This window comes from Homo sapiens, chromosome 20, assembly GCF_000001405.40.
Source record: "Homo sapiens chromosome 20, GRCh38.p14 Primary Assembly".
Classification (NCBI taxonomy): Eukaryota; Metazoa; Chordata; class Mammalia; order Primates; family Hominidae; genus Homo; species Homo sapiens.
Window position 1 is genome coordinate 50,608,812 of NC_000020.11, and position 23,383 is coordinate 50,632,194.

The 23,383-nt window shown below is 53.8% G+C and overlaps 1 protein-coding gene, 1 non-coding gene and 1 pseudogene across 14 annotated transcripts in view, besides 4 other annotated features; 1 reads left to right on the forward strand and 2 right to left on the reverse strand.

Annotated features, from left to right (window-relative positions):
• RIPOR3 (RIPOR family member 3) overlaps window positions 1-23,383 on the reverse strand; it is a 105,435-nt gene that overhangs the window by 22,704 nt on the left and 59,348 nt on the right. For 11 of the 13 annotated variants that reach the window (NR_110890.2, XR_936505.3, XR_936506.4 and 8 more), the window contains 8 exons: window positions 21,927-22,045; window positions 11,175-11,321; window positions 7,191-7,269; window positions 2,370-2,393; window positions 2,042-2,095; window positions 762-911; window positions 482-545; window positions 101-144 (listed from right to left, as the gene is read on the reverse strand). Coding sequence is in view for 9 of the 13 variants with exons in the window: in NM_001290268.2 (NP_001277197.1) it covers window positions 101-144; window positions 482-545; window positions 762-911; window positions 2,042-2,095; window positions 2,370-2,393; window positions 7,191-7,269; window positions 11,175-11,321; window positions 21,927-22,045 (681 nt within the window). In the remaining 4 variants the exon portion in view is untranslated. Of the gene's footprint in view, window positions 1-100; window positions 145-481; window positions 546-761; window positions 912-2,041; window positions 2,096-2,369; window positions 2,394-7,190; window positions 7,270-11,174; window positions 11,322-21,926; window positions 22,046-23,383 lie in introns of those variants that run through there. The other 2 variants (XM_006723713.5, XM_017027681.1) reach the window with 2 other exon arrangements.
• Window positions 1,716-2,216: an enhancer, noted in NCBI's record as "H3K4me1 hESC enhancer chr20:49227064-49227564 (GRCh37/hg19 assembly coordinates)". NCBI's record gives its function as "activates a minimal SCP1, AML or CMV promoter by ChIP-STARR-seq in primed H9 embryonic stem cells {active_cell/tissue: H9 hESC(primed)}" and the evidence as "EXISTENCE:reporter gene assay evidence [ECO:0000049][PMID:30033119]".
• MIR1302-5 (microRNA 1302-5) lies at window positions 5,825-5,974 on the reverse strand. The gene has a single exon (NR_031634.1). It is a non-coding gene; the product is annotated as a microRNA 1302-5 (primary transcript).
• Window positions 8,189-8,689: an enhancer, noted in NCBI's record as "H3K4me1 hESC enhancer chr20:49233537-49234037 (GRCh37/hg19 assembly coordinates)". NCBI's record gives its function as "activates a minimal SCP1, AML or CMV promoter by ChIP-STARR-seq in primed H9 embryonic stem cells {active_cell/tissue: H9 hESC(primed)}" and the evidence as "EXISTENCE:reporter gene assay evidence [ECO:0000049][PMID:30033119]".
• On the forward strand, window positions 11,915-12,313 carry RPL36P2 (ribosomal protein L36 pseudogene 2; annotated as a pseudogene).
• Window positions 16,193-17,154: an enhancer, noted in NCBI's record as "H3K27ac-H3K4me1 hESC enhancer chr20:49241541-49242502 (GRCh37/hg19 assembly coordinates)". NCBI's record gives its function as "activates a minimal SCP1, AML or CMV promoter by ChIP-STARR-seq in naive H9 embryonic stem cells {active_cell/tissue: H9 hESC(naive)}" and the evidence as "EXISTENCE:reporter gene assay evidence [ECO:0000049][PMID:30033119]".
• Window positions 20,030-20,627: an enhancer, noted in NCBI's record as "H3K4me1 hESC enhancer chr20:49245378-49245975 (GRCh37/hg19 assembly coordinates)". NCBI's record gives its function as "activates a minimal SCP1, AML or CMV promoter by ChIP-STARR-seq in primed H9 embryonic stem cells {active_cell/tissue: H9 hESC(primed)}" and the evidence as "EXISTENCE:reporter gene assay evidence [ECO:0000049][PMID:30033119]".

Here is a 23,383-nt window from a genome sequence, read left to right on the forward strand (position 1 = left end):
GCCAGGCAGAGCCCCAGCTGCAACCCTGGTTCCCAGCAGCTCCCGTCCCCCAAAGACCTGGCGGGGAGCCCTGAGGATTGACCCCAGAGAGTGGCCGTACCTCATAGTGGTCTCCGGGACAGAGGCGTGCGTAGCCCACCAAGCCTGGAACACAGACATGGCCGGTCTCCCCTCCGCCTTCCACTCTCCCTGACCTGGGACCACAGGTCCTCTCTGGGGTTCCCCCGAGTATAGATTTTCAGTTTCAGTGGGGTGAGGATGGGGGGGAGGTACACCATCATGATGGAAAATGGACAGAGGGTGCTGGGCCCTCACACCAGGCTCAGAGAGGGGTGGGACTTGCCAGAAGTCACATGTCACATGGATGCAAAAGCCAGGGCTGGGCTCAGACCCCTGGGATTCTGGCCAATTCCCGTGCCCCTCAGCAGAAGTCTCAGGGCCTCCAGAAAGGCCTCCGCCCACCCCCTCTCAGCCCTGTTACCTTTCATCCTGATGTGGAACTCGCCCAGGTGAACCTCCAGGGCCCCCTCGATGAGCCACATGTCCTGCAAAGCCCCGGAGGTGGCTCAGCTGGCTGCCTGGGGCTAGGCCACGAGGGCCTCTAACCATCCCTGCAGCCAGACAGAGGCCACAGGCAGAGAGACGCCTCCTTGGGGCCCAGAACACCTCCTCCAGCCCCCACTGGCCCAGCTCTCGATGTCCCCACTGCCCGGCCCAGCTCTTGCTGCCCCTGCTGCCCAGCCCAGCTTGGCCCGGCCCACCTCGGCGCACTCGTGCAGGCTGCGGCCCAGCTCCTGCAGGCTCTCTCGGGCTGCGCGGCTCGGGGGGCACCGGGCGAAGGCCCGCTGCATGCTGGAGGCGCCGTCGCGCAGGCGGCACTGGATGCAGTAGTCCTCGTACAGCTCATCCACCTGTGGTGGGCACACGGGCTGGTGGCGCTGCCCACGCGGAGGGGCGGCCCCACACCTGCCTGTCGACTTCTCCTCTCTGGGAGAGGCCCTCCCTGAGCTAAGCACCCCGCTAGCCCAGCCCATGGTGACAGTCACTACCTGTCCAGTCCCATTCAAAGCAGTCACCCCTGGCCCCAGTAGAACATGAACCCCCATAGGCAGGGACCACATCTGCCTCACCTGCCTCACCTGCCACCACTGCCTCACCTGCCACCCCTACCACCCCTGCCTCACCTGCCACCCCTGCCTCACCTGCCACCCCTGCCTCACCTGCCACCCCTGCCTCCCCTGCCTCCCCTGCCACCCCTGCCTCACCTGCCACCCCTGCCTCACCTGCCACCCCTGCCTCACCTGCCACCCCGGCCTCACCTGCCACCCCGGCCTCACCTGCCACCCCTGCCAACCCTGTCTCACCTGCCTCTCCTGCCTCTCCTGCCACCCCTGCCAACCCTGTCTCACCTGCCTCTCCTGCCTCTCCTGCCACCCCTGCCTCACCTGCTGCATACCCAGCTCCTGGCAGCGACTGGCACACAGTGTGCACAGCAAAAATGAGTGAAAGGGACAAGGGAATCTGTCCCTTCACCTCCTCTGCCTGGTTTTTCAACAATGAAATGGGAGATGACTTTGTGATAACCTGCCACCCACTGGGCAGTGTGGGGAGTAAAGCAAGATCATGAAACCGTTTGCAGACTCTAAAGCTTACAGATCTGCTATGCGACCTTGGGCCAACCCATGTTCATCTCTGGACCTCTGCTTTTCCAACTGTACAATGGGCTGGGAGGGCTCAACCTTCCCAGCCATCTAAGACTGAGCATGAGGTCTTTCTGCATAAACTGAAGAAAGAGCCCACACAGTCCTCAGGGAGTCCCACCTCAGGGCTGAGCCCCCTGACTCCCACCTCAGGGCTGAGCCCCTGCTGTCCTTCAACTGGCCCGAGGCCCCTGCTCATCCTTAGCCTCCTGCAGCTGCCCCATACCCAGAGGCCCTGATCCCTGTTTCGAGGGCACCTCCCCAGCTCCTGCTAACCTAGCTGAGGCCCAGCAAGCTGGCACTGCCCCACCCCACCCTGCAACATCCACGAGCCAGCTGACCTTGCTGATGTGAAACTCCATCTTCCGAATGTGCCTTTCCACACAGCGCGTTTGCTTCTCCCGGAAAAAGGGAAGATGTTTGCAAAGTTGCCTGGGCCACCCACCTGCCCCGCTTGCCCCTGCCACCCTCCTACAGGTCCTAACTCAGAGAATGGGGCCCCTCACCATCCCTGAGGAAGGCTCATCGCAGAGACTCAGCCTTCCCATTCCTAAAATGGGGAGGAGACCCAGGTTTTCTGCCCATCAGGCAGCCAGGAAGATGCAATGAGGCACAGTCATTCTCATCCAGCCAGGCCCAGCCCACCTCACTCACCGTATGCAGACTCACCTTGTCCAGGTCATAATAGAAAGCCTGTGAGGGAGGAAAGGAGGGCGGAAGAAGCTGTCAGAGTCCCACATGTTCCTCCAAGGCCTATGAGGCTCTATGCTGGCGGCGCCTGAGCTCAGAGTCAGAGGACAGAAAGCCATGTCTACAGCCACCCCCACCCACTCCTTCCTCTGCCAACGGCAGACTGCTGTCCACGCCAAGGACAGCACTGATTAAACACATGCACGTGGGATGAGGCAGTTCTAGGTCTGGCTCTTCTATTTCCCAGCTGCGTGTCCCAGGCAAGTCATTCAGCCTTTCTGGGCCTCCGTTTCCTCCTATGTAAAGCAGGGTAGGAGAAGCGCCTACCTCACAGGGAGAAAAAAGGACACAGTAGGCCCTTGACAAAATGGGAACCATTGAGATTGAAGGAATGGCCTCGGCCATGACAAAAGAACATGAGGGGGATGGAAGCGGGAGGGGCACATGGCACAGCAGTTCAGGCCTTAATGGTGAATTCCTAAGTCTATCCATTCCAGGGGCCAGGGTGCGACCAACACAAATAATATATCATCAGGGCAGGCAAACCTTTCTATAGGTTTGTAAAGGGCCAGAGAGTAAATATTTCAGGCTTGGCAGGCCACGGCGCCCCATGCCAAGATCTATAAAGTAGGACCATCCTGGCCAGGCGCAGTGGCTCACGCCTGTAATCCCAGCACTTTGGGAGGCTGAGGTGGTCAGATCACTTGAGGTCAGGAGTTTAAGTCCAGCCTGGCCAACGTGGCGAAACCCCATCTCTACTAAAAATATAAAAAGTAGCTGGGTGTGGTGGTGCATGCCTGTAATCCCAGCTACTTGCCAGACTTGAGGCAGGAGAATCACTTGAACCTCAGAGGTGGAGGTTGCAGTGATCTAAGACCGTGCCACTGTACTCCAGCCTGGGTGACAGAGCGAGACTCCATCTCAAAAAAAAAAAAAAAAGAAAAAAAGTAGGACCATCTAAAACATACACACCTTTGCCTACCTTAGAGTTACTTCTAGAACCAAGAAAGAGTGTGAAGTGGACCTAAGACATGGGAAGTGCTGTACCTGCCTGTGGGGTTAAATTCATCAGGGTCAAAGTTTTGTCCTAACTAAGCAACTCTGCCATCATAGTGGGAAAGCAGCCACAGACAATATGTACATGAACAAGTGTGGTCAAGAAACATTTTTTTAAACAAGTGTTTAAAAAAACTCTTGTTTTTTAAGTGACTCTAATTTTAAAATATAGTGACTCTAATTTTCACTGGCTGTTAATTTCCAGTGGAGATTAGAGTCACTATGTCTGAGTCTGGAGGGGTTACCATGGGGTTGTAGATCCACCAGGGAGGAAAAGTAAGCTGTAGGAGAGTATGTAAATTGACATTTCATTTTTGTAAGACAATTTTAACTCACAATTGCTAAACACATTTACATGATTATGTGACCAGAGAGAAAAATATGGAAAGATCAATAAAAGATTGTTCTCAAGGGTTAAACGGGATGGGACACGGAAGATTGAATAGAGGAGGGCGTCAATCGAGAAAGAAAGAAGGATTCAACCCCAAAAAGTCCCATGTATGTATTTATGTGGAATTGTACATATGCGATAATGAAATAAAAATTCCATTTAAGCCAGGTGAAGTGGCTCACACCTGTAATCCTAGCACTTTGGGAGGCCAAGGCAGGAGGATCACCTGAGCCCAGGCATTCAAGACCAGTCTGGGCAACACAGCAAGACCCCATCTCTACAAAAAATTTAAAAATTAACTGGGCATGGTGGCACACACCTGTAGTCCCAGCTACTTGAGAGGCTGAGGTAAGAGGATTGCTTGAGCCCAGGAGTTTGAGGTTACGGAGAGCTATGATCGTACCACTGCACTTCACCCTGGGTGACAGAGTAAGACCTTGTCACTTTAAGAATAAATAAATAAAATCTTTTTAAAATTAAGAAACAATTAAAACTCCATTTAAGAAATAAAGAAACAGGATGGGTGTGGTGGCTCATGCCTATAATCCTAGCCTTTTGGGAGGCCGAGGTGAGTGGATCACCTGAGGTCAGGAGTTGGAGACCAGCCTGGCCAACATGGTGAAACCCCCTCTCTACTAAATAAAAAATACAAAAATTATCCTGGCATGATTGTGCGCGCCTGTAATCCTAGCTACTCAGGAGGCTGAGGCAGGAGAATCACTTGAACCTGGGAGGCAGAGTTTGCAGTGAATGGAGATCGTGACACTGGACTCCAGCCTGGGTGACAGAGCGAGAATCCATCCCGAAAAAAAAGAAAAGAAAAGAAAAGAAATAAATAAAGAAAGAGGAAAGATCCCAAGCCTTTGAAAAGAAGAGTGACTACCCAGCAACGTCTCAAAAACCAACATCTTGTTTCAATGAGAACCAGCAGTGTCATGGGAGCAGGACTCGACATGGGCATCTTGCTGTGTGGCTCCAGTGCGGTCACTGTGCCCTGGCCTCAGTGTGCCCATCTATGACATGGGAGCAGCTAAAACATACAAGTATTTATACTCTTGCCTGCTTTAGAGTTACTTCTAGAATGGAAAGAATGGGAAACGAAGTCCACGGGGTGAGACTCACTGTACCCATGTGAGAAGAGGGGCAGGTGCTGGAGCTGGGTGATATCTTGGCAGCACCTTCTCCCACCATCTGCTGCTGGTCACCCGCCCAACTGTCCACTAAGGGTGAGGCATGCTGAGCTTGGCAGGCCTTTCCCTCCCCAAGTCCCTGGCACACACATGAGGCTGGGTCCTTGCCTCTCCTACCCTGCCCACCCCGAGGCCCTCTCTGCTGGAGCCAGGATACAGAGACGGCCGCTTGTTTGCTTGCTTATTTCATTCATTCATTCATTCATTCATTCATTGAAACAGAGTCTGGCTCTATCGTCCAGGCTGGTGTGCAGTGGTACGATCTCACCTCACTGCATCCTCCGCCTCCTGGGTTCAAGCTATTCTCCTGCCTCAGCCTCCCGAGTAGCTGGGACTACAGGCACCCGCCACCACGCCTGGCTAATTTTTGTATTTTTAGTACAGATGGGGTTTCACCATGTTGGCCAGGCTGGTCTCAAACTCCTGATCTCGAGTGATCCACCCGCCTTGGCCTCCCAAAGTGCTGAGACTACAAGCGTGAGCCACTGTGCTGAGCCACTGGATGCTATTTTGGTAGAAAAACTCATCTCCCCTCCTCGCTTTCCCAGTCCCTCAGTCAAGCTGGTGGCCTGTTCTGCACATTGGTGCTTTGGAGGAGGGATTCTGGGAAACACTGGCTGGGAGGAGAATCCCACAGTAGCAAGGCCTCCTTGCTTTTGTCTCCAAATCTAATTCATTAAGGACATGTGGGGTTTTCTCAAGGCAGCAGCGGAGAGACTTCCCAGATGAAAGGAAGATCCTCCTGCTGAAAGGATGAAGTCCCTGAGCAATGGGATCCTAGCAGTGTCACCAGATAAAATACAGGACACCTAATTAAAATTAAAATTTCCAATCAACAAGGAACAATTATTTTAGCATAAGTATGTCCCAAAGATTACATGGGATATACTTATACCTAAACAAATTTGTGATTTGTCTGAAAAACCAATTTAATGGGAGGCCGGGCACAGTGGCTCATGCCTGTAATCCCAGAACTTTGGGAGGCAGAGGCAAGCGAATCACTTGAGGTCAGGAGTTTGAGACCAGCTTGGCCAACGTGAAACCTTGTCTCTACTAAAAATGTGAAAAAACAGCTGGGCGTGGTGGCGGGTGCCTGTTATCCCAGCTACTCAGGAGGCTGAGGCAGGACAATCGCTTGAATCTGGGAGGCAGAGGTTGCAGGGAGCCGATATCACACCATTGCACTCCAGCCTGGGCAACAGAGTGAGACTCCATCTCAAAAACAAAACAAAACAAAACAAACAAATTTAATGGGGCATGCTATTTGTGAGTGTGTGTGTGTGTGTGTGTGTGTGTGTGTGTGTGTGTTGCTAAGTCGGTCTCTGCTAAGGGAGAGGCAAAAAACCAGAGCAGGTGAGCCTTGGGCAACACAGGGCCCAGGGCCAGCCTGAAAGACACTGCCTTGGCTGGCACAGTGCCTCACACCTGTAATCCCAGCACTTTGGGAGGCCGACACAGGAGGATTGCTGGAGCCCAGGAGTTCAAGACCAGCCTAGGCAACATGATGAGACCCTGTATCTACAAAAAATTTAAAAAATTAGCTGGGCATGGTGGTGCATGCCTATAGTCTCAGTTACTTGGGAGGCTGAGGTAAAAGGATCGTTTGAGCCCAGGAGGTGGAGGTTGCAGTGAGCCGGGATTGTGCCACTGCACTCCAGCCTGGACAACAAAGGGAAATCCTGTCTCAAAAAAAAAAAAAAAAAAAAAAGACACTGCCCTGATGATGGCAGGAAACGCTGCCTGTCAGCTGGGCATTGAAGGAACACGCAGGCTTCATCAAGGACAGCGGCAGAGGCCACTGTGACATACCCAAGATGTGACACCTGACCCACTTTCCTGGCATTACAGAAGCCATCCCAAGTCCAGGTCACCTGATGGCCAAGGTCTATAAAATAGGACCACCTAAAAGAAATGCACCTCCATACACTGCCCACCTTAGCATTACTTCTAGAACCGAGAGACAGTGTGACATGGGCCTAAAACGTGTGAACTGCTGTACGTGCCAAAGTGAAGTTAACTCAGTGCAACGTGAAGAGGCTATTCCATAAACCTCTAGTTCTGAGAAAGAGTCACACCGTGACATAGGCTAGAAGGAACGCAGGGTTCATCTTTTACTCCTGGCCAAGGCTATCTGGGTGGGAAGCAGGCAGGGAGGGGTCTCACCAGCCTGGAATTCCTCCTGGTGTCTTTGTGGCGTCCAGACAGGTGGTCCAGCTCAGCCTGCTGCACACACAGATACTCCCTGCAAGGAAAGCAAGGAAGAGTTTCAAATGGAAGAGGAAGAAGAAAGGGAAAGGAAGTAGGCCAAATGGACAATGTCCCCACGTGGAGAGCAGACACGGGGCTCAGCGGGGCTCAGAGGCAGGTAGGAAGCCAGGCTCCCTCACACTGGGGGCTGTGTGCCCAGCACCACACAAAATTGGTTACAGGGAAGTTCCTAGTTAATTCCCCCACCAGGCCCACAAGTAGCTTCTACTGTTATTATATGCATTTTCTTTCTTTCTTTACTTATTTATTGTTTGAGACAAGGTCCCCCCTCTCTCGCCCAGGCTGGAGTGCAGTGGTGTGATCACAGCTCACTGCAACCTCTACTTCCTGGGTTCAAATGATTCTTATATCTCAGCCTCTTGAGCAGCTGGGACTACAGGTGTGTGCCACCACACCTGGCTGATTTTTGTATTTTTAGTAGAGATGGGGTTTCACTATGTTGGCCAGGCTGGTCTCGAACTCCTTGACCTCAGGTGATCTGTCTGCCTTGGCCTCCGAAAGTGCTGGGATTACAGGGGTGAGCTACCGCATCCAACCTAGTATATGCATTTTAAAGATAGACAAACCAACCCTTGAAAGCAGCAAGTACCCCAGCCCCGGTCACACAGCAGAGAAGAGGCTGAACCCACGTCTGAAACCACACAGTGGCCTTCTGAGCCCAAAATCTTCATCCCCATGTTATACCCCCTCCCAAGCTGGGGCCCAGCTCATGGGGAGGTCATCATGGCACACCTCCCTCAAGGTCAAGGGTCTAGGCCGGGCGCCGTGGCTGACGCCTGTAATCCTAACACTTTGGGAGGCCGAGGTGGGCGGATCACAAGGTCAGGTAATCGAGACCATCCTGGCTAACACAGTGAAACCCCATCTCTCCTAAAAATACAAAAACTTAGCCGGGCATGGTGGCACACACCTGTAGTCCCAGCTACTCGGGAGGCTGAAGCAGGAGAATTGCTTGAACCTGGGAGGCAGAGGTTGCAGTGAGCCGAGATTGCACCACTGCACCCCACCTGGGCAACAGAGCGAGACTTCATTCCAAAACAAAGAAGGTGGGGGGCGTCTAGATTTGGGGGCCAAGGCAGGGAGTCCCATCTTGCTGGATTTGCTGAGTCATCCCAGGAAGGTCACTCACACTCTCTGGGCTCTACTGACACCACCTCAAATGTGGAAAAGATAGCTTCTGCCAGACTGCTACTCACTGAGGTATTGAGCTCTCTGGGAAGAAGGGGCTGCCTTGGCCCCAGACAAGTCTCAAACATGTGGTCCTTAAAGGACACAGAATCTGTCCTTCAGAAACATGCTCTATCGTCCATGCACATCCCAGCTCCCACTCTGCACAATCCCAGCTTGCTGCAGCCTCCACCTCTACAGGATTTTGCCATATTCCCATGCTGGTCTTGAACTCCTAGGCTCAAGGAATCTGCCTGCCTCGGCCCCCCAAAGTGCTGGGATTACAGGGTAGCCACCGCTGTGCCCAGCCAAGGATGTCTATTTTGAAAACCATTTCATTCTAAGGTGGTTTCCCTTTTTTTTTTTTTTTTTTTTTGAGTCTTGCTCTGTCTCCTAGGCTGGAGTGCAATAACGCGATCTTGGCTCACCACAACCCCCACCTCCCGGGTTCAAGTGATTCTCCTGCCTCAGCCTCCCGAGTAGCTGGGATTGCAGGCATGCCCCACCACGCCGGCTAATTTTGTATTTTTAGTAGAGACGGGGTTTCACCATGTTGGCCACGCTGGTCTCAAACTCCTGAATTCGTGATCCGCCTGCCTCCGCCTCCCAAAGTGCTAAGATTACAGGCCCACTGCGTCTGGCCTGGTTTCAACTTTTACTTGACTCTGGTTCCTCTTTGGGGTGCCCCATCTATAAATAAGAGATGTAGGGGCTGGGCGTGGTGGCTTATGCCTGTAATCCCAGCACTTTGGGAAGCCAAAGCAGGTGGATCACAAGGTCAGGAGTTCAAGACCATCCTGACCAATATGGTGAAACCACGTTCTATTAAAAATACAAAAACAAATTAGCCGGGCGTGGTGGCAGATGCCTGTAGTCCCAGCTCCTCAGAAGTCTGAGGCAGGAGAATAGCTTGAACCCAGGAGGCAGAGGTTGCGGTGAGCTGAGTGAGATCACACCACCGCACTCCAGCCTGGGTGACAGAGTGAGACTCCGTCTCAAAAAAAAAAAAAAAAAAAAAAAAAAAAAAAGGCGTAAGTAGGAGAGAATTTAGGGTCTAAGTACCACTATATCTGGGGAAAATCACTCCAGAAACCACTCTTTGGCCCACAGGGCCCCCTGTCATCTGGTCCCCATTGCCCCATAACCTCATCCTCTTTCCTTTGGCTCTAGCCACGCTGGCCTCCTTGCTGCGCCCCAGGGCCTTTGTGTATGTGGCTACCCTGGCCTGGAATGTTCTTTTCCCCTTCAGGAGTGTGCTCCAATGTCACCTTCTTAGCAAGGCCTTCCTTCCAACTGCCCAACTTAAAATGAACCCTCCCTGCCTCTGCCTGCTTACCCTGGCCTGTTTTCCTCTGTGGCCCTTACTACCATCTGATATTCTCTGTACTTTTCTTTTCTGTATTGTGTATTGTCTGTCTCTCCCCCACTAGGAGTCAGCTCCACAGGAGGTAGGGATTTTGTGTGTTTAGTTTACTTCTGTCCCCTGGCCTGGCACTCTGTAAGCCCAATAAATATTTGTGGGCTGGGCACAGTGGCTTATGTCTGTAATCCCAGCACTTTGGGAGGCCAAGGCAGGCAGATCACTTGAGTCAGGAGTTCAAGACCAGCCTGGCCAACATGGCGAAACCCAGTCTCTACTAAAAATACAAAATATTGGCTGGGCGCGGTAGCTCACACCTGTAATCTCAGCACTCTGGGAGGCCGAGATGGACAGATCACCTGAGGTCAGGAGTTCGAGACCAGCCTGGCCAACGTGGTGAAACCCTATCTCTACTAAAAATACAAAAAATTAGCCAGGCGTGGTGGCAGGTGCCTGTAATCCCAGCTACTCGGTAGGCTGAGGCAAGAGCTACTCTCAGCCTCTGCTTTCTCATCTGTAAAATAAGGAGGCTATGCCAGGTGCAGTGGCTCACGCTTGAACCCAGGAGGCGGAGGTTGCAGTGAGCTGAGATCACACCATTGCACTCCAGCCTGGGCAACAAGAGCAAAACTCCGTCTCAAAAAAAGAAAAAAAAAAATTAGCCAGGTGTGATGGTGCGTACCTGCAGTCCCAGCTAGTTGGGAGGCTGAGGCAGGAGAATTGCTTGAACCCAAGAGGCAGAGGTTGCAGTGAGCTGAGATTGTGCCACTGCACTTGAGCCTGGGCAACAGAGCGAGACTCCATCTCAAAAAAAAAAAAAAAAAAAATTTGTGGAGTGACTCATCCTTCTTGTGCAGGCCTCGGCCCAGCTCATCAGTTGGTCTCTGAGCAAGTCTGTCCTTCACTCAAACACCCACCGCCCTGACCTCTTGCGTGTGTGGGCTCACAGTGCAGGCTCCTACTGTGGGGCCTTTGCCCACACTGTTGCCTGTCTGCCGAGGCCCTCGACGCACTGTCTCTCTGTTACCTTTCTTCATTGCACTCAGCACAGGTGGAAGTTCTATGATTGATTGCATTGCTTCTTGATTGATTGCATTGAATCTGCCCCTCTGCAGTGCGTGCTCCACAAGATCAGAGTCCTCCTGCCTTAGTCACTGCCAGGTTTCCAGTGCCCAAGGACCGGGCTGAGCACGCGGCTGCACCCTGACATACTTGCTTACTAAACGAATGACCAGGAACTTAACCTGTCACCTCTTGTAGACAAGACCCATCCACGCTTCCCCAGGAAGAGACAGAGAGGAGGCGAGGTAGAGGAATGCACTTCTTAAAGGCAGCACACAGCCCAGCCTTACTTGAGGCCTCTTTTCAATGCTTCGAAGATCTTCTTCACCTGCTGGGGCTTCGGGTCTGCACAGACCGACCCCTTCCGCAGCGTGCCGTACATCTTGGAGGATTTTGCAGGCATTCGCGATCTCACGGAGTTCCTGTTGATGGACTTTCTGTGAGAAGGGTTGGAGGGCAAGAGAAGTCAGAGAAGGGCCCTGACAAAGCCCTCCCCAGGGGCAGGCACTTTGGAAATAGTGACCAGAGCCACAGGGAGTCAGGAGACCCGGCTCAGTCCCACCCCCATCACCACCAAGCAGTGTGGTTTCCAGAAAGTTATGGAGCCTCTCTGGGTCTCTGCTTTCTCATCTGTAAAATTAGGATCCTGGGCCAGGTGCGGTGGCTCACACTTGTAATCCCAGCACTTCGGGAAGCTGAGGTGGGTGGATCACCTGAGATCAGGGGTTCAAGACCAGTCTGGCCAACATGGCGAAACCCTGTCTCTACTAAAAATACAAAAATTAGCCGGATGTGGTGGTACGTGCCTGTAATCCCACTTACTCCGGAGGCTGAGGCACAAGAATCGCTTGAACCCGGGAGGTGGAGGTTTCAGTGAGCCGAGATTGCATCACTGCACTCCAACCTGGGTGACAGAGTGAGACTCAGTCTTAAAAATAAATAAATAAATAAATAAATAAATAAATAAATAAATAAATAAATAAAAATAAGGAGCCTAGATTTGAGGATTAAAAGAAGAGTAATAAAGCTTTTCCACCATGGCTGCCACTGGAGAGCAGCAGCCATGGCTCTGCGCTACCCTATGGCCATGGGCCTCAACAAGGGCCACAAGGTGACCAAGAACGTGAGCAAGCCCAGGCACAGCCGCTGCAGTGGGTGTCTGACCAAATACACTGAGTTTGTGCGGGACATGATCCGGGAGGTGTGTGGCTTTGCCCTGTACAAGCAGCATGCTATGGAGTTACTGAAGGTCTCCAAGGACAAACAGGCCCTCAAGTTCATCAAGGAAAGGGTGGGGACACACATCCACGCCAAGAGGAAGCAGGAGGAGCCGAGCCAATGTCCTGGCCGCCATGAGGAAAGCCACTGCCAGGAAAGACTGAGCCCCCTCCCCTGCCCTCTCCCGGAAATATAGAACAGCTTGACAAAAAAAAAAAAAAGAACAGTAATAAAAATCTGGTATCAGAAATGAACTTACAGGAAGAAATACAGTCAAGTAGCCCAAATGCCAATGCTCTCTGATCACCATGCTCTGCCTGTGCAGGCAATGCCGTGTGGGAGGCCAAGTCATAGTCCTGTGCTTTACCCTTGGGGCAGCATCTGTTGGCTTTACCTGCCCAGCATCCATCCCCTCCCTCTAGTAGTAGCACCTCAATTTTCCTCTGGGGCACCTCCCCAGCTCTGCTTTTTATACTTGTGGTTTGGGGGAAAGGTAGCCTGACTAATCAACATGCACACACACATTTGCACATGCACACATGCACACGGGATTGTTTGGCAAATCCACATTCCAGGCCTGCGTTAGTCAACATATTCTGCTCCCCTGGGCCAAGAAGTATGGGGATCAAGCCTGGCCAGTAGCCAGCCAGGAGTTCAGAATTCACAGAAGGGAGAAGTGTTTTTTCCCCTGGCATTGCTAACCTGGGGAACATATACCTGGGACTTCCAGCCTCCTCCTTTTGCCACCATGTAGGGAAACTGGGGCCAACACAGAGAGGAACAAACAGAGTCAGACCAAATCTCCATGACAGTGAGTTCCTGGATCTAGCTATGTCTAAAGCTGAACCTGCCCGTGGACTTTGCAGTTACATGAGCCAACTGGCTCTCTTTTTTAGCTTAAGCCAGCTGGAGTTGGGAGTGTGGACTGGATGATCCTAAAAACTGCCTTTCAGTGGTGATGGCTGGGTCCCTCAACATTTAGAGATGTAGCAGCATCTCAAGACTGATTATAGGAGTACGAGGCCAGGGCACCCTCATCACAGCACAGAGCTGGTTTCCCTGGCATCTAAGCCTCTTCTCAGGATCCCATAACTTATCCATGAGGCTGGCTGATGCAGCCTTTGCTCACCAACAGATGTGTTGAATTCTGCTCTTAGCCCTCTAAAGCCATCAGCCAGGCGCCCTGGCACCAGGCATCACTTAATGACAACATTCTCACAAAAGAGACATGGTGGAAATGACTCTTAGATCTAACTTTGGCATCAGTTCTCTTTTTTTTTTTTTTTTTGAGATGGAGTCTCACTGTCACCCAGCCTGGAGTGCAATGGTGCAATCTCGGCTCACTGCAACCTCCACCTCCTGGGTTCAAGCGATTCTCCTGCCTCAGCCTCCCAAGTAGCTGAGATTACAGGCATGCACCACCATACCTGGATAATTTTTGTATTTTTAGTAGAGACAGGGTTTCACCATGTTGTCCAGGCTGGTCTCGAACTCCTGACCTCAAATGATCCACCTGCCTCAGCCTCCCAAAGTACTAGGATTACAGGTGTGAGCCACCGTGCCTGGCTCAGCATCAGTTATTATAGGGGACTACTGGCCCTTCTCTTCCAACTCCTCCTCTTCCCAGGGGCGGGAATAACGGTATGCTGGAAGCAGCTTCAACCCACCCCTAAAAGCTGGCTGAACAACAAGAGAGAAGGAACAGGCCCTGAATAGCCTCGTGAAGCAGACCTCCCAACACACACACATGCCCTCATCCACCCCTTGGCTCTGGACTGCAGAGAGAGAGAGAGAGGAATAACCAATCTCAAGTAAGCACCTGCATTTTGGGGGTCCTTTTATCAAAGCAACTTCACCTCTACATTAACAACACACTACCCAAGGCTCTGTCTTTTCACTGGTAAAATGGGACCACGTAATACATCAGAGGATGGTGCTGAGAATTCTATTAGATGCCAGGCCCAAAATGTGGCACAAAGGAGACCTTTTACATGCAAGCTGTTGTTAGAATCATCACATCCTATCTGTATCTTTCCCCTGGCTCACAGCTTAGAAAACATTAGGTGCAGGCCAGGCACTGTGGCTCACACCTATAATCCCAGCACTTCGGGAGGCCAAGGTGGGTGGATCAACTGAGGTCAGGAGTTCAAGACCAGCCTGACCAACCTGGTGAAACCCCGTCTCTACTAAACAAAAAATTAGCCAGGCGTGGTGGTGGACACCTGTAATCCCAGCTACTCGGGAGGCTGAGGCAGGAGAATCACTTGAACCGGGAGGCAGAGGTTGCAGTGAGCCGAGATCATGCCACTTCACTCCAGCCTGGGCAGCAAGAGCAAAACTCTGCCTTAAAAAAAAAAAAAAAAAAAGAAAAAAAAGAAAATATTAGGAGTTTGGTAAATATTAAGCTCAGCTGAACGGGGGAAAATACAGTATCCCAAGGGGATTAGAGAACAGAGAACCTGGCCCCTGCAGGCAGAGCGGGATAGCGAGTGCACCCCTGGGTGTTCCCAGCTGGAGACAGAGGGAGCAAAGGTGGAGAATGGGACCTGGTATGCTCTGGGAGTGGATGCAAGGAGCAAGGTTTGACCCAGGCAGAAGTGGGAGTCTGCAGAGGGGCCTGGACCTGGGGCCTCTCTAGTTTTGGGGACCCAGGATGTGTGAGAGGAGGAGAAGGGCAGCTCCCAGAGAAAGTCCAGCTTCCAACACCTTTACAATGACAAGTAATGTCTCTGTAGAGCAGAGAAACTAAGCTCAGGCCAGGGCTAGTGGGCTGCTGAACAGCTGACACCACAAGCCCAAGGGCCTCAGGAGCCTGGTGAGAACACGTGAGCCTAAGTAACTGGGGGCACCTGCTGCCGCCAGGAGCTCGCTAAGGGCTTTATAGAAATATCTCGACTTTCACAACCACCCTAGGAGACAGGTATTATTCTTATTATTATTTTGAGATGAAATTTCGCTCTGTCGACAGGCTGGAGTGCAGTGGCACGATCTCTGCTCACTGCAACCTCCGCCTCCCAGGTTCAAGCGATTCTCCTGCCTCAGCCTACCCAGTAGCTGGGATTACAGGCATCTGCTACCACGTCCAGTAATTTTTGTTTTTTTTAGTAGAGACAGGGCTTCACCTTGTTGGCCAGGCTGGTCTTGAACTCCTGACCTCAGGTGATCTGCCCGCCTTGGCCTCCCAAAGTACTGGGATTGCAGGCATGAGCCACTGCACCCAGCCATTTGTATATATTTAATGTTAAGTGATGCTTTCCAAAGCCCACAGGGGCTGTGCTCCCTCTTCCCCTTGCCCTCCCTGAGGCCCCATCACCCACCTCTTGAACCGGGCCCTCCGCAAGTTTGCCATCTTGAGGCTGGCAGAGACGGTCAGGGCTGCAGACTCGGGAAAAGGCAGGTTTCTGAGAGGTTAGGGACCCCGGCAGGTGGGCAGCAGGCAGTGGGGCAGGAGCTCGCTCACTCCCAGCTCCTGCCTCCAGCCCCCAACAGGTGTGCACCGTTGGCCCAGCCCCGCTTCCATCCACCTGGGGACCTTATACCCTCGCTGCTGCAGCCACACCTGGATGCACCTGCTCCCGGGAAAGCTCTGAGCCTAGTGCTCCTTGTGTGAGGTTTAACAGGACAGGCTCAGTGGCCACTCTGAGAGCCCGCCCACCCGGGGAAGGTGATGCACATGCAGCCTCCAGATGGCCAAATCAGGCAGCATGTCTGGCCCAGGTGTCACAGAAGCCGGGGCAGGAAGAGCCTCTGGGGCCGGATGTTTCACCAGGTCTGGGAGGACTCAGTAAATATTAAACAGCCCCTGGCATGCCAGACAAGCTTCCAGACGGGCACGTGCAACCTGCCGGCCCCAGCCCTCACGTGAGGTTGCTACAGCAGTCCTTCTGCCTGGTGTGGTTGGCAGAGGCCTTGGTACTCGGCTGTTGCAAGTGCAGGCTCTGGAGGCAGACAGGGCCGGGCTCAAGTCCTGCACCTGCCCCCAGCCTCCAGGCGGGACAATTATAGGACTGACTGCACAGGCTTCAGGTGAAGACTCCATGCAACAAGGACGTGAGCCAACCATTTACCCAGGTGCCTGGCGGTGCTGGCCACTGGGTGATGATGACAGGCATGCACTCGGCACTTGCCAAGCTCAAATTCTGCTCTCAGTGCTTTTGTTTTTTTTTTTTTTAATTGAGACAAGGTCTTGCTCTGTCTCCCAGGCTGGAATGCAGTAGCGTGATCTCAGCTCACTGTAGCCTCCGCCTCCTGGGCTCAAGTGATCCTCCCACCTCAGCCTCCTGAGTAGCTGGGACCACAGGAGTGCACAATTACACTCGGCTAATTTTTTGTAGTTTTGGTGGAGACAGGGTTTCACCATGTTGCCCAGGCTGGTCTTGAATTCCTGAGCTCAAGTGATCCGCCTGCCTTGGCCTCCCAAAGTGCTGGGATTGCAGGCGTGAGCCACCACGCCCGCCTGGCCTGCTCTTGGTGCTTTACATGTATGGACTCATTTCTCCTGACACAGTCTTTGAGGTCAGGCCCCCTGGTACCGTCCAGGAAACTGAACTTGCATCACTCGCCTCTGGCTCCAGAGTCTGTGTGCTTGACAGCTTCACAGGCAGGGCTGGATATGAGCCGCCTCTTTCTCCAGCCTCCTCTCCTTGAAACTTAATGGCTGCTATTTCGTTTTCACACCCACACTTCTTAGCCATCCCAACAGAGGAATTCCCAAGCTGAGGAGGATGTCCCAGTGGCTCCTGGCTCGGGGAGTACCTGCCTGACTGCCTGGGGGAGGGAGACCTGGCTGAGGAGGGGCAGGAAAGGGGGAAGGGCAACCATGCCTGTCAACTGGGGCAGAGTAGGACAGTATCGGGGCCTGGCCCTCTCCTCCTTCATCCTCACTGTTTATCCTCTCATCTCTCTATCCTCCCACCCCCCAGGTCCAGCTCTTGGGAAATGGCCTTATTATGTCAATCATTCACACCTTAGTATAAAATTTCCCCACCAGGTTACTTCCCCAAGTGAGCCATCTGACTGTGGAGTAAAAATCCCTGTCTATAGTGAAAGGGGTTTCAAGGTGCCAGAGTAGGGGTCAAGGTGGTGATGGGAAGAGAAGGGGCATCAGCCCACCCTCTCCATGCAGAGCCCTGCCCTCCTGCCAGGTTGTTTGCCTTGACAGTGCGGCTGCGCTTCGGCCTGCTCGGGTTACCAGGGAACAAGGCCAGAAGGTGGGGCCTGAAACCCAATCAGGCTCCAGCCCTGGCTCCAAGGGTTCAGACCCCAGGGAGCTCGACGGAGACAGGAAGTTAAAAATAGATGCACCGCTTCCCCGTCGGTGTGGGCAGCTTCTTCCTTGCCCTCACACAAGGGGGCGGCAGAGGCCAAGGCCAGGTGGGGGCTGCCCAGGGACCTCCGAACCAGCCCAGGCCCAGCATCCTCTGGCATCCTTGACAATCAGATGGGGGACAGGAGGGGTCTGAGATATTAGAGCCATCAGGGCTGTCTTTCCTAGACTAGGACTTGGACACTGTGGGACCCTTGCTGACGGCCAGCGAGCCCTGGTGTCAAGGGGATGGATCACCTCTGTCCTCCTTCCTCCCAAAGAGCTGATCCCAGGAATCCAGGAAGGGGCCAACGAGAGGCAGAGGCCTACCGTGGGGGCACTCTCTGGGCAGAGCTCCCCTCTAGGGCCTGAGGGGACATGTCCCATGGATGCAGGACATTCAGAGGCCCCCACAGGCCTGGCAGGAGGAGAGCTGCAGGCAGGGCCAGTTGTGAAATTTGTGGGGTCTAGTGCGAAATAAAAATGCAAGGCTCTTTATTCAAAATTTATCAAGAATTTTGGGCCAGGCGCGGTGGCTCACGTCTGTAATCCCAGCAGTTTGGGAGGCCGAGGTGGGTGGATCACCTGAAGTCAGGAGTTCCAGACCAGCCTGGCCAACATGGTGAAACCCTGTCTCTACTAAAAATTAGCTGGGCATGGTGGCACATGCCTGTGATCCCAGCTACTCGGGAGGCTGAGGCAGGAGAATCACTTGAACCCGGCAAGTGGAGGTTATGGTGAGCTGAGATTGTGCCATTGCACTCCAGCCTGGGCAACAAGAGCAAAAGTCCGTCTCAAGAAAAAAAAAAAAAAAAATAGCCAGTGTGGTGGCCCATGCCTGTAGTCCCAGCTACTCAGGAGGCTGAGGCAGAAGAATTGCTTGAACCTGGAAGGTGGAGCTTGCAGTGAGCCTAAATTGCACCACTGCACACCTGGGTGACAGAGCAAGACTCTGTCTCAAAACACACACAAAAAAATTGTATTAAGAATTTCTATTTGGTGCCAGGCACAGTGGCTCACACCTGTAATCCCAGCATTCTGGGAGGCCGAGGCAGGTGGATCACCTGAGGTCAGGAGTTCGAGACCAGCCTGACCAATATGGTGAAACCCTGTCTCTACTAAAAATACAAAAAAAAAAAAAAATTAACTGGCATGGTGAGGCACACCTGTAATCCCAGCTACTCAGGAGGCTGAGACAGGAGAATTGCTTGAACTCAGGAGGCGGAGGTTGCAGTGAGCCGAGAATATGCCACTGCACTCCAGCCTGGGCAACAGAGCGAGACTCTGTCTCAAAAGAAAAAAAAAAATACAAAAATTAGCCGGGCGTGGTGGCACGCTCCTGTAATCCCAGCTACTCAGGAGGCTGAGGCAGGAGAATCACTTGAACCTGGGAGGCGGAGGTTGCAGTGAGCCAAGATCGCGCCATTGCACTCCAGCCCGGGCGAGAGAGAGAAACTGTCTCAAAAAAAAAAAAATTTTGGGAGGCTGGGGTGGGAGGATCATTTGAACCAAGGAGGTCAATGCTGCAGTGAATCGAGATCGCACCACTGCACTACAACCTGGGCGACAGAATGACACCCACAAAAATTTCTAGAGCACAACAGCAGAGCGTTCAATCAAAGTACAGAGCACAGGCTACACGCTCATGAAGCCGCCCTTGGGTACAGGGTCTGCAGACCCTACCCCTCCTTCCAGACCACACAAGGGTCCCTACAGTGCTTCAGTGGACCAGCCCCACTCCAGGGCACACAGCTGGGAGAGGGTCACCTGGGCCGGATGGCCCCCTGGCCAGGTAACCCGCACAGCTGACCTTCCCAGCCTTGATTACAGACCCCTGCAAGAAAGTGGGGGACTCTGATAAAGCCCAGGAAGAGGCAGCTCAGAAATGGTTAAGTTGAGAAACAGCATCATTTCCTGGCCGGTTTATACTTAACCCCCTCTTTGCAGCACTTATGGAGTGCCTGCTGTGTGCCTTTCTCAGGCAGCACCCACTCTTTCTGTTCTCTGAGGCTTGGAGTTGGGGCACTGAGCACTAACTGCTCTGGAGCCTGGGTCAAATTCTTCTCGTCTTGGGGCATCAACTTAAACCCTTCCCAGGCTCCCCTCCACTGAGAATGTGTCTCAAGGCCTCACTGCAGCCCATGAGGCTCCGCAGGGTCCTCCTCCCTCCCTGACTGCTGTCACGCATGCCAGCCGCACACCTGCTTTCTGTCCCTTAAAGCTCATTCCCACCCAGGACATCTGCACTCGCAGCTGCCTCCCGCCGCCGAAGGCTTCCCGGCCCACCCCCATCTGCACACGCGCAGATCCACTTCTTCTGTCCCTTCCTGCCTCCACTCCCCATGCCCCTGTCTCGTCAGGCTCTCCCAGGAGACCATGGGTGCCCTCCCCCACCCCCAGTTCAGTTCCCTCACAGCACTGCCACCAGCTGGATCTGTCTCAATTATCACTGGCTTATTGTTTGCTGCCATCAGCTCCCAGGACAGCAGGGCCTGGGTCTGTCCCCAGAGCCCAGGACAGGGCCAGAGTAGGTGCTCCGTGAATATCTGCTGCGTGAACAGGGATTCCTAAGGTGCTTCCAGCTGGGACACTCCAGGATCTTAACCCTGGGGTCCCGGCACCACCACCCATGGGAAGGGAGCCCCCAGGGAAAGGTTAGTGAGCTGGGAGGGCTGACCTCAGGGGGGTGGAGGTGGGGTCCTATCCCCGCAGCAAATGCCCCTGGGAAGGAGCTCAGGGAGCACACACAGGAGGGACCTGGCCTGGTCTGGAGCTCAGGGGTCCTCCCCCAGGACCTAGCAGGAAGCCAATGCCTGCAGGTGATTCAACGGGAACTGGAGGTGGAGGAGTGGGGTAGGAGCTCCAGCGGGAGGACACACATGTGCTGAGGCCCTGAGGCCGGGAGGGGAGGGAGGTAGGCTGCTGGGGCCAGGTCCCAGGGGCCTCTAGCCAGGAGGGCGCTGGGTTTATTCTAAGTAGGTTGGGAATCTTTGCAGGGTTTCAAGTCGGGGAAGAGCATGGTGGGATTTTATTGTTGACTGACTCACTGACCTACTGAGTTCTGCACTCTGCTCTGGCTGGGGACCCCGACCTGTCCACCCCGTTGGCTCAGACAGACAGAGGTTTGGCCCCTTCAGGATGTCGATAAACTGCCCCAGTCCCCAGGCCTGCCTGCTCGTAAATGGTTCCCTGGGGGCTTGCACAGTGCCTGGCATGAGGCCCTGGAGCGAGGGGGCAGCAGGCCTGAGCTCATCGGGCTGTGGCCTCCAGAAGCAGAAACAACCTTCCTCCCAGGGACTTAGTACCTAAAGCCGGAGGAGACACAGGACGGGGCAGCAGGCAGGGCCTGGCCCGGCCAGCACCCCCAGGGAACTCAGCCACAGGGTCAATGCTGCCCCCCAGGCCCATCTGTGCCAAGCCTGCTCCCTCATCCGGTAACCCCCCACAGCACCAGCTGCACCGGCTGCTGGCCCTGCCTCCCTCGTGGTTCCTTCCCGACAGCCCCGTGAGCAGGGTGCACCCACAATTCCCATTGTTCAGATGAAGACAAGGCTGAAGAGGTGAGGTCACTTGCCCCAGGTCACAGAGCCAGAAGAGGTGGCCCCATTGCCTAGTCTTCCAGACAGGAAGAACATTCCTTCCCAACCCCGCCCGTGGAAGACCCAACCCTGGGCCAGTTTTGCTGTGTGACCTTGGGCCAGTGGCTCCACCTATCTGAGCCTCTGGTTTTTTGGTTTTTCTTTTTTGGTGTTTTTGTGGGTTTTTTTGAGATGGCATCTTGCTCTGTCACCCAGGCTGGAGTGCAGTGGTGTGATCTCGGTACACTGCAACCTCCACCTCCTGGGTTCAAATAATCCTCCCACCTCAGCTTTCCAAGTAGCTGGGATTACAGGCATGTGCCACCACATCCAACTAATTTTTGCATTTTTAGTAGAGACAGGGCTTCACCGTGTTGGCCAGGGTGGTCTCCAACTTCTGACCTCAAGTGATCCGCCCGCCTTGGACTCCCAAAGTGCTAGGATTACAGGCATGAGCCACCGTGCCCAGCCCAATTTTCTGGTTTTTCAAAAAAATTTTTGTAGAGATTGGGTTGTGCTATGTTGCCCAGGCTGGTCTTGAGTTCCTGGGCTCAAGTGATCCTCCTGCCTCGGCCTCCCAAAGTGCTGGGATTATAGGCGTGAGTCACTGTGCCCAGCCAGAGCCTCAGATTTTTTATCTGCCAAGTGGACCTGCTAAGCTCAGGCAGATCAACTTCTGGAGACTTTGAAATGATAACTGTTCAGGTTTCAAGGAAATGATAGGTTTATCCCAACACTAAGAAACTCTGTCTCTCTGTCTCTCTCTCAATCTCAATCTCTCTCTCTCTCTCTCTCTCTCTCTCTGTCTCTCTCGGGCTGCAAGCCGGCCTGAGAGTGGGCCTTCGGGTCTCTGGCAGCAGGAGGAGGATGACCCTGCCCTTCCCCAGCCCATTAACAAGCCCCACCCCTGCACCCCGAAACAGGACACGGGGGGAACTTACGCGATCCTCCGGCTCTGTGCACTGCTGAAGCCTGCGAAGGAGGCGCTCCGGCCCACGACCCCCACGGCCCCTGTGTCCCCAGGGGACAGGAACCGCAACCTCACCGACATGGTGGTCACCTGCAAGGAGAGGACAGGAGAGTCAGCCTGGCATCACCATCCAGCGAGTGCCGTCCGCAGGCCAGCCACCTTCCACCAACACCTACAGACCTCACAATGGCCCCAGAGTGTTGTGGGGGCTGGTACTGTGCCCAGCTCACAGGTCAGCAAGCTGAGGTCCCATGAGGTTAGGGGACCTGATGGGGGACAGTGATGGGAATGGAATTCGAACCCAGGTGTCTGTACTCTGCACTCTGTGCTCAGGTCCTTAGTGCCGGGCAATGCTGCCTCCCAGAGCAAGGGGACAGCACCTCCTGAACACAGCCCTCTCACCCCCCGAGCTTCTCCTCTCCCCTCCTCCAGCCCTCCCTGAGCACCTAACACAGGTGAACTCTGCAAGGCAGGCCAAGTCCCCCCATCCTCAAGGGCTCCAGCCCAGCAGGGAGGCCCACCTACTGCCGAACAGTTACGATACAGAGTCCATGCTGGAGTTATGGGGGTCCCAGGGGGAATCTGACCCAGCCATGAAGAGGCGCCCAAGAGCTGAGTAGGAAGGCTGACGTGGGGTGAAGGGGAAGGGTGTCTAAGGCCGAGGGAACAGCCTGGGCAAAGGCCAGGATGCATGAGGGGACTTGGTGTCATCCAGAAACAGCAAGAAGCTCAGTGGGCTAAAGACGAGGTCAGAGAGGCCGGCAGGGCTCAGGTCCCAAGAGGCATTGGTAGCCCCAAGCAGGGGCTTGGCCTTACAATGGGGCAAGGGTGACTGGGAGCCATGGGAGGGCTTTCAGCAGGGGGTGGAAAAGTCCAATTCACATGAAGCCAGACTGCTGGTGTCAAGGGCTGCTTCCACCCCGATCCATTGCCCAGTCTCCGACCCGCCCTGCAATGGGGCCAACCCCGAGCCCTGGCTGTCTTCTCTTTTTTCCAAACCATCTCTAGATTGAGAAAATGCCACCCTATCCCTTGGGAATATAGGTCAGCATCTTCCAGCAAGGGCAGCTGGAAAGTTCTGCTTCATATCTAACCTAAATCTCTGCTGCTACAGTTTCATACTTTGCTCCTTTGCCAGGGTGGTGTCAATCCAAGGATTCCAGGGACCCCATTGCCCAGACAAAACCTACGAAAAAGCTCCAGTCCACCTCATCTTCCTGCACGATGAGACCCCCATGTTCCAACATCTCTTTCCCCCAGGGGCCAAGTCCACCCCACTACACCTCTGCTCACTTGGGGGTCTCTGCCTGGAAAAACTTCCTGTATCGAGCCACATCTGCCCAGCATCTACTACTGCACCTCCTGGCAGATCTGTGCAGCCTCCACAAGCCTCCTCCTCCCATATATCCCCCACCCCACAGCCCCACA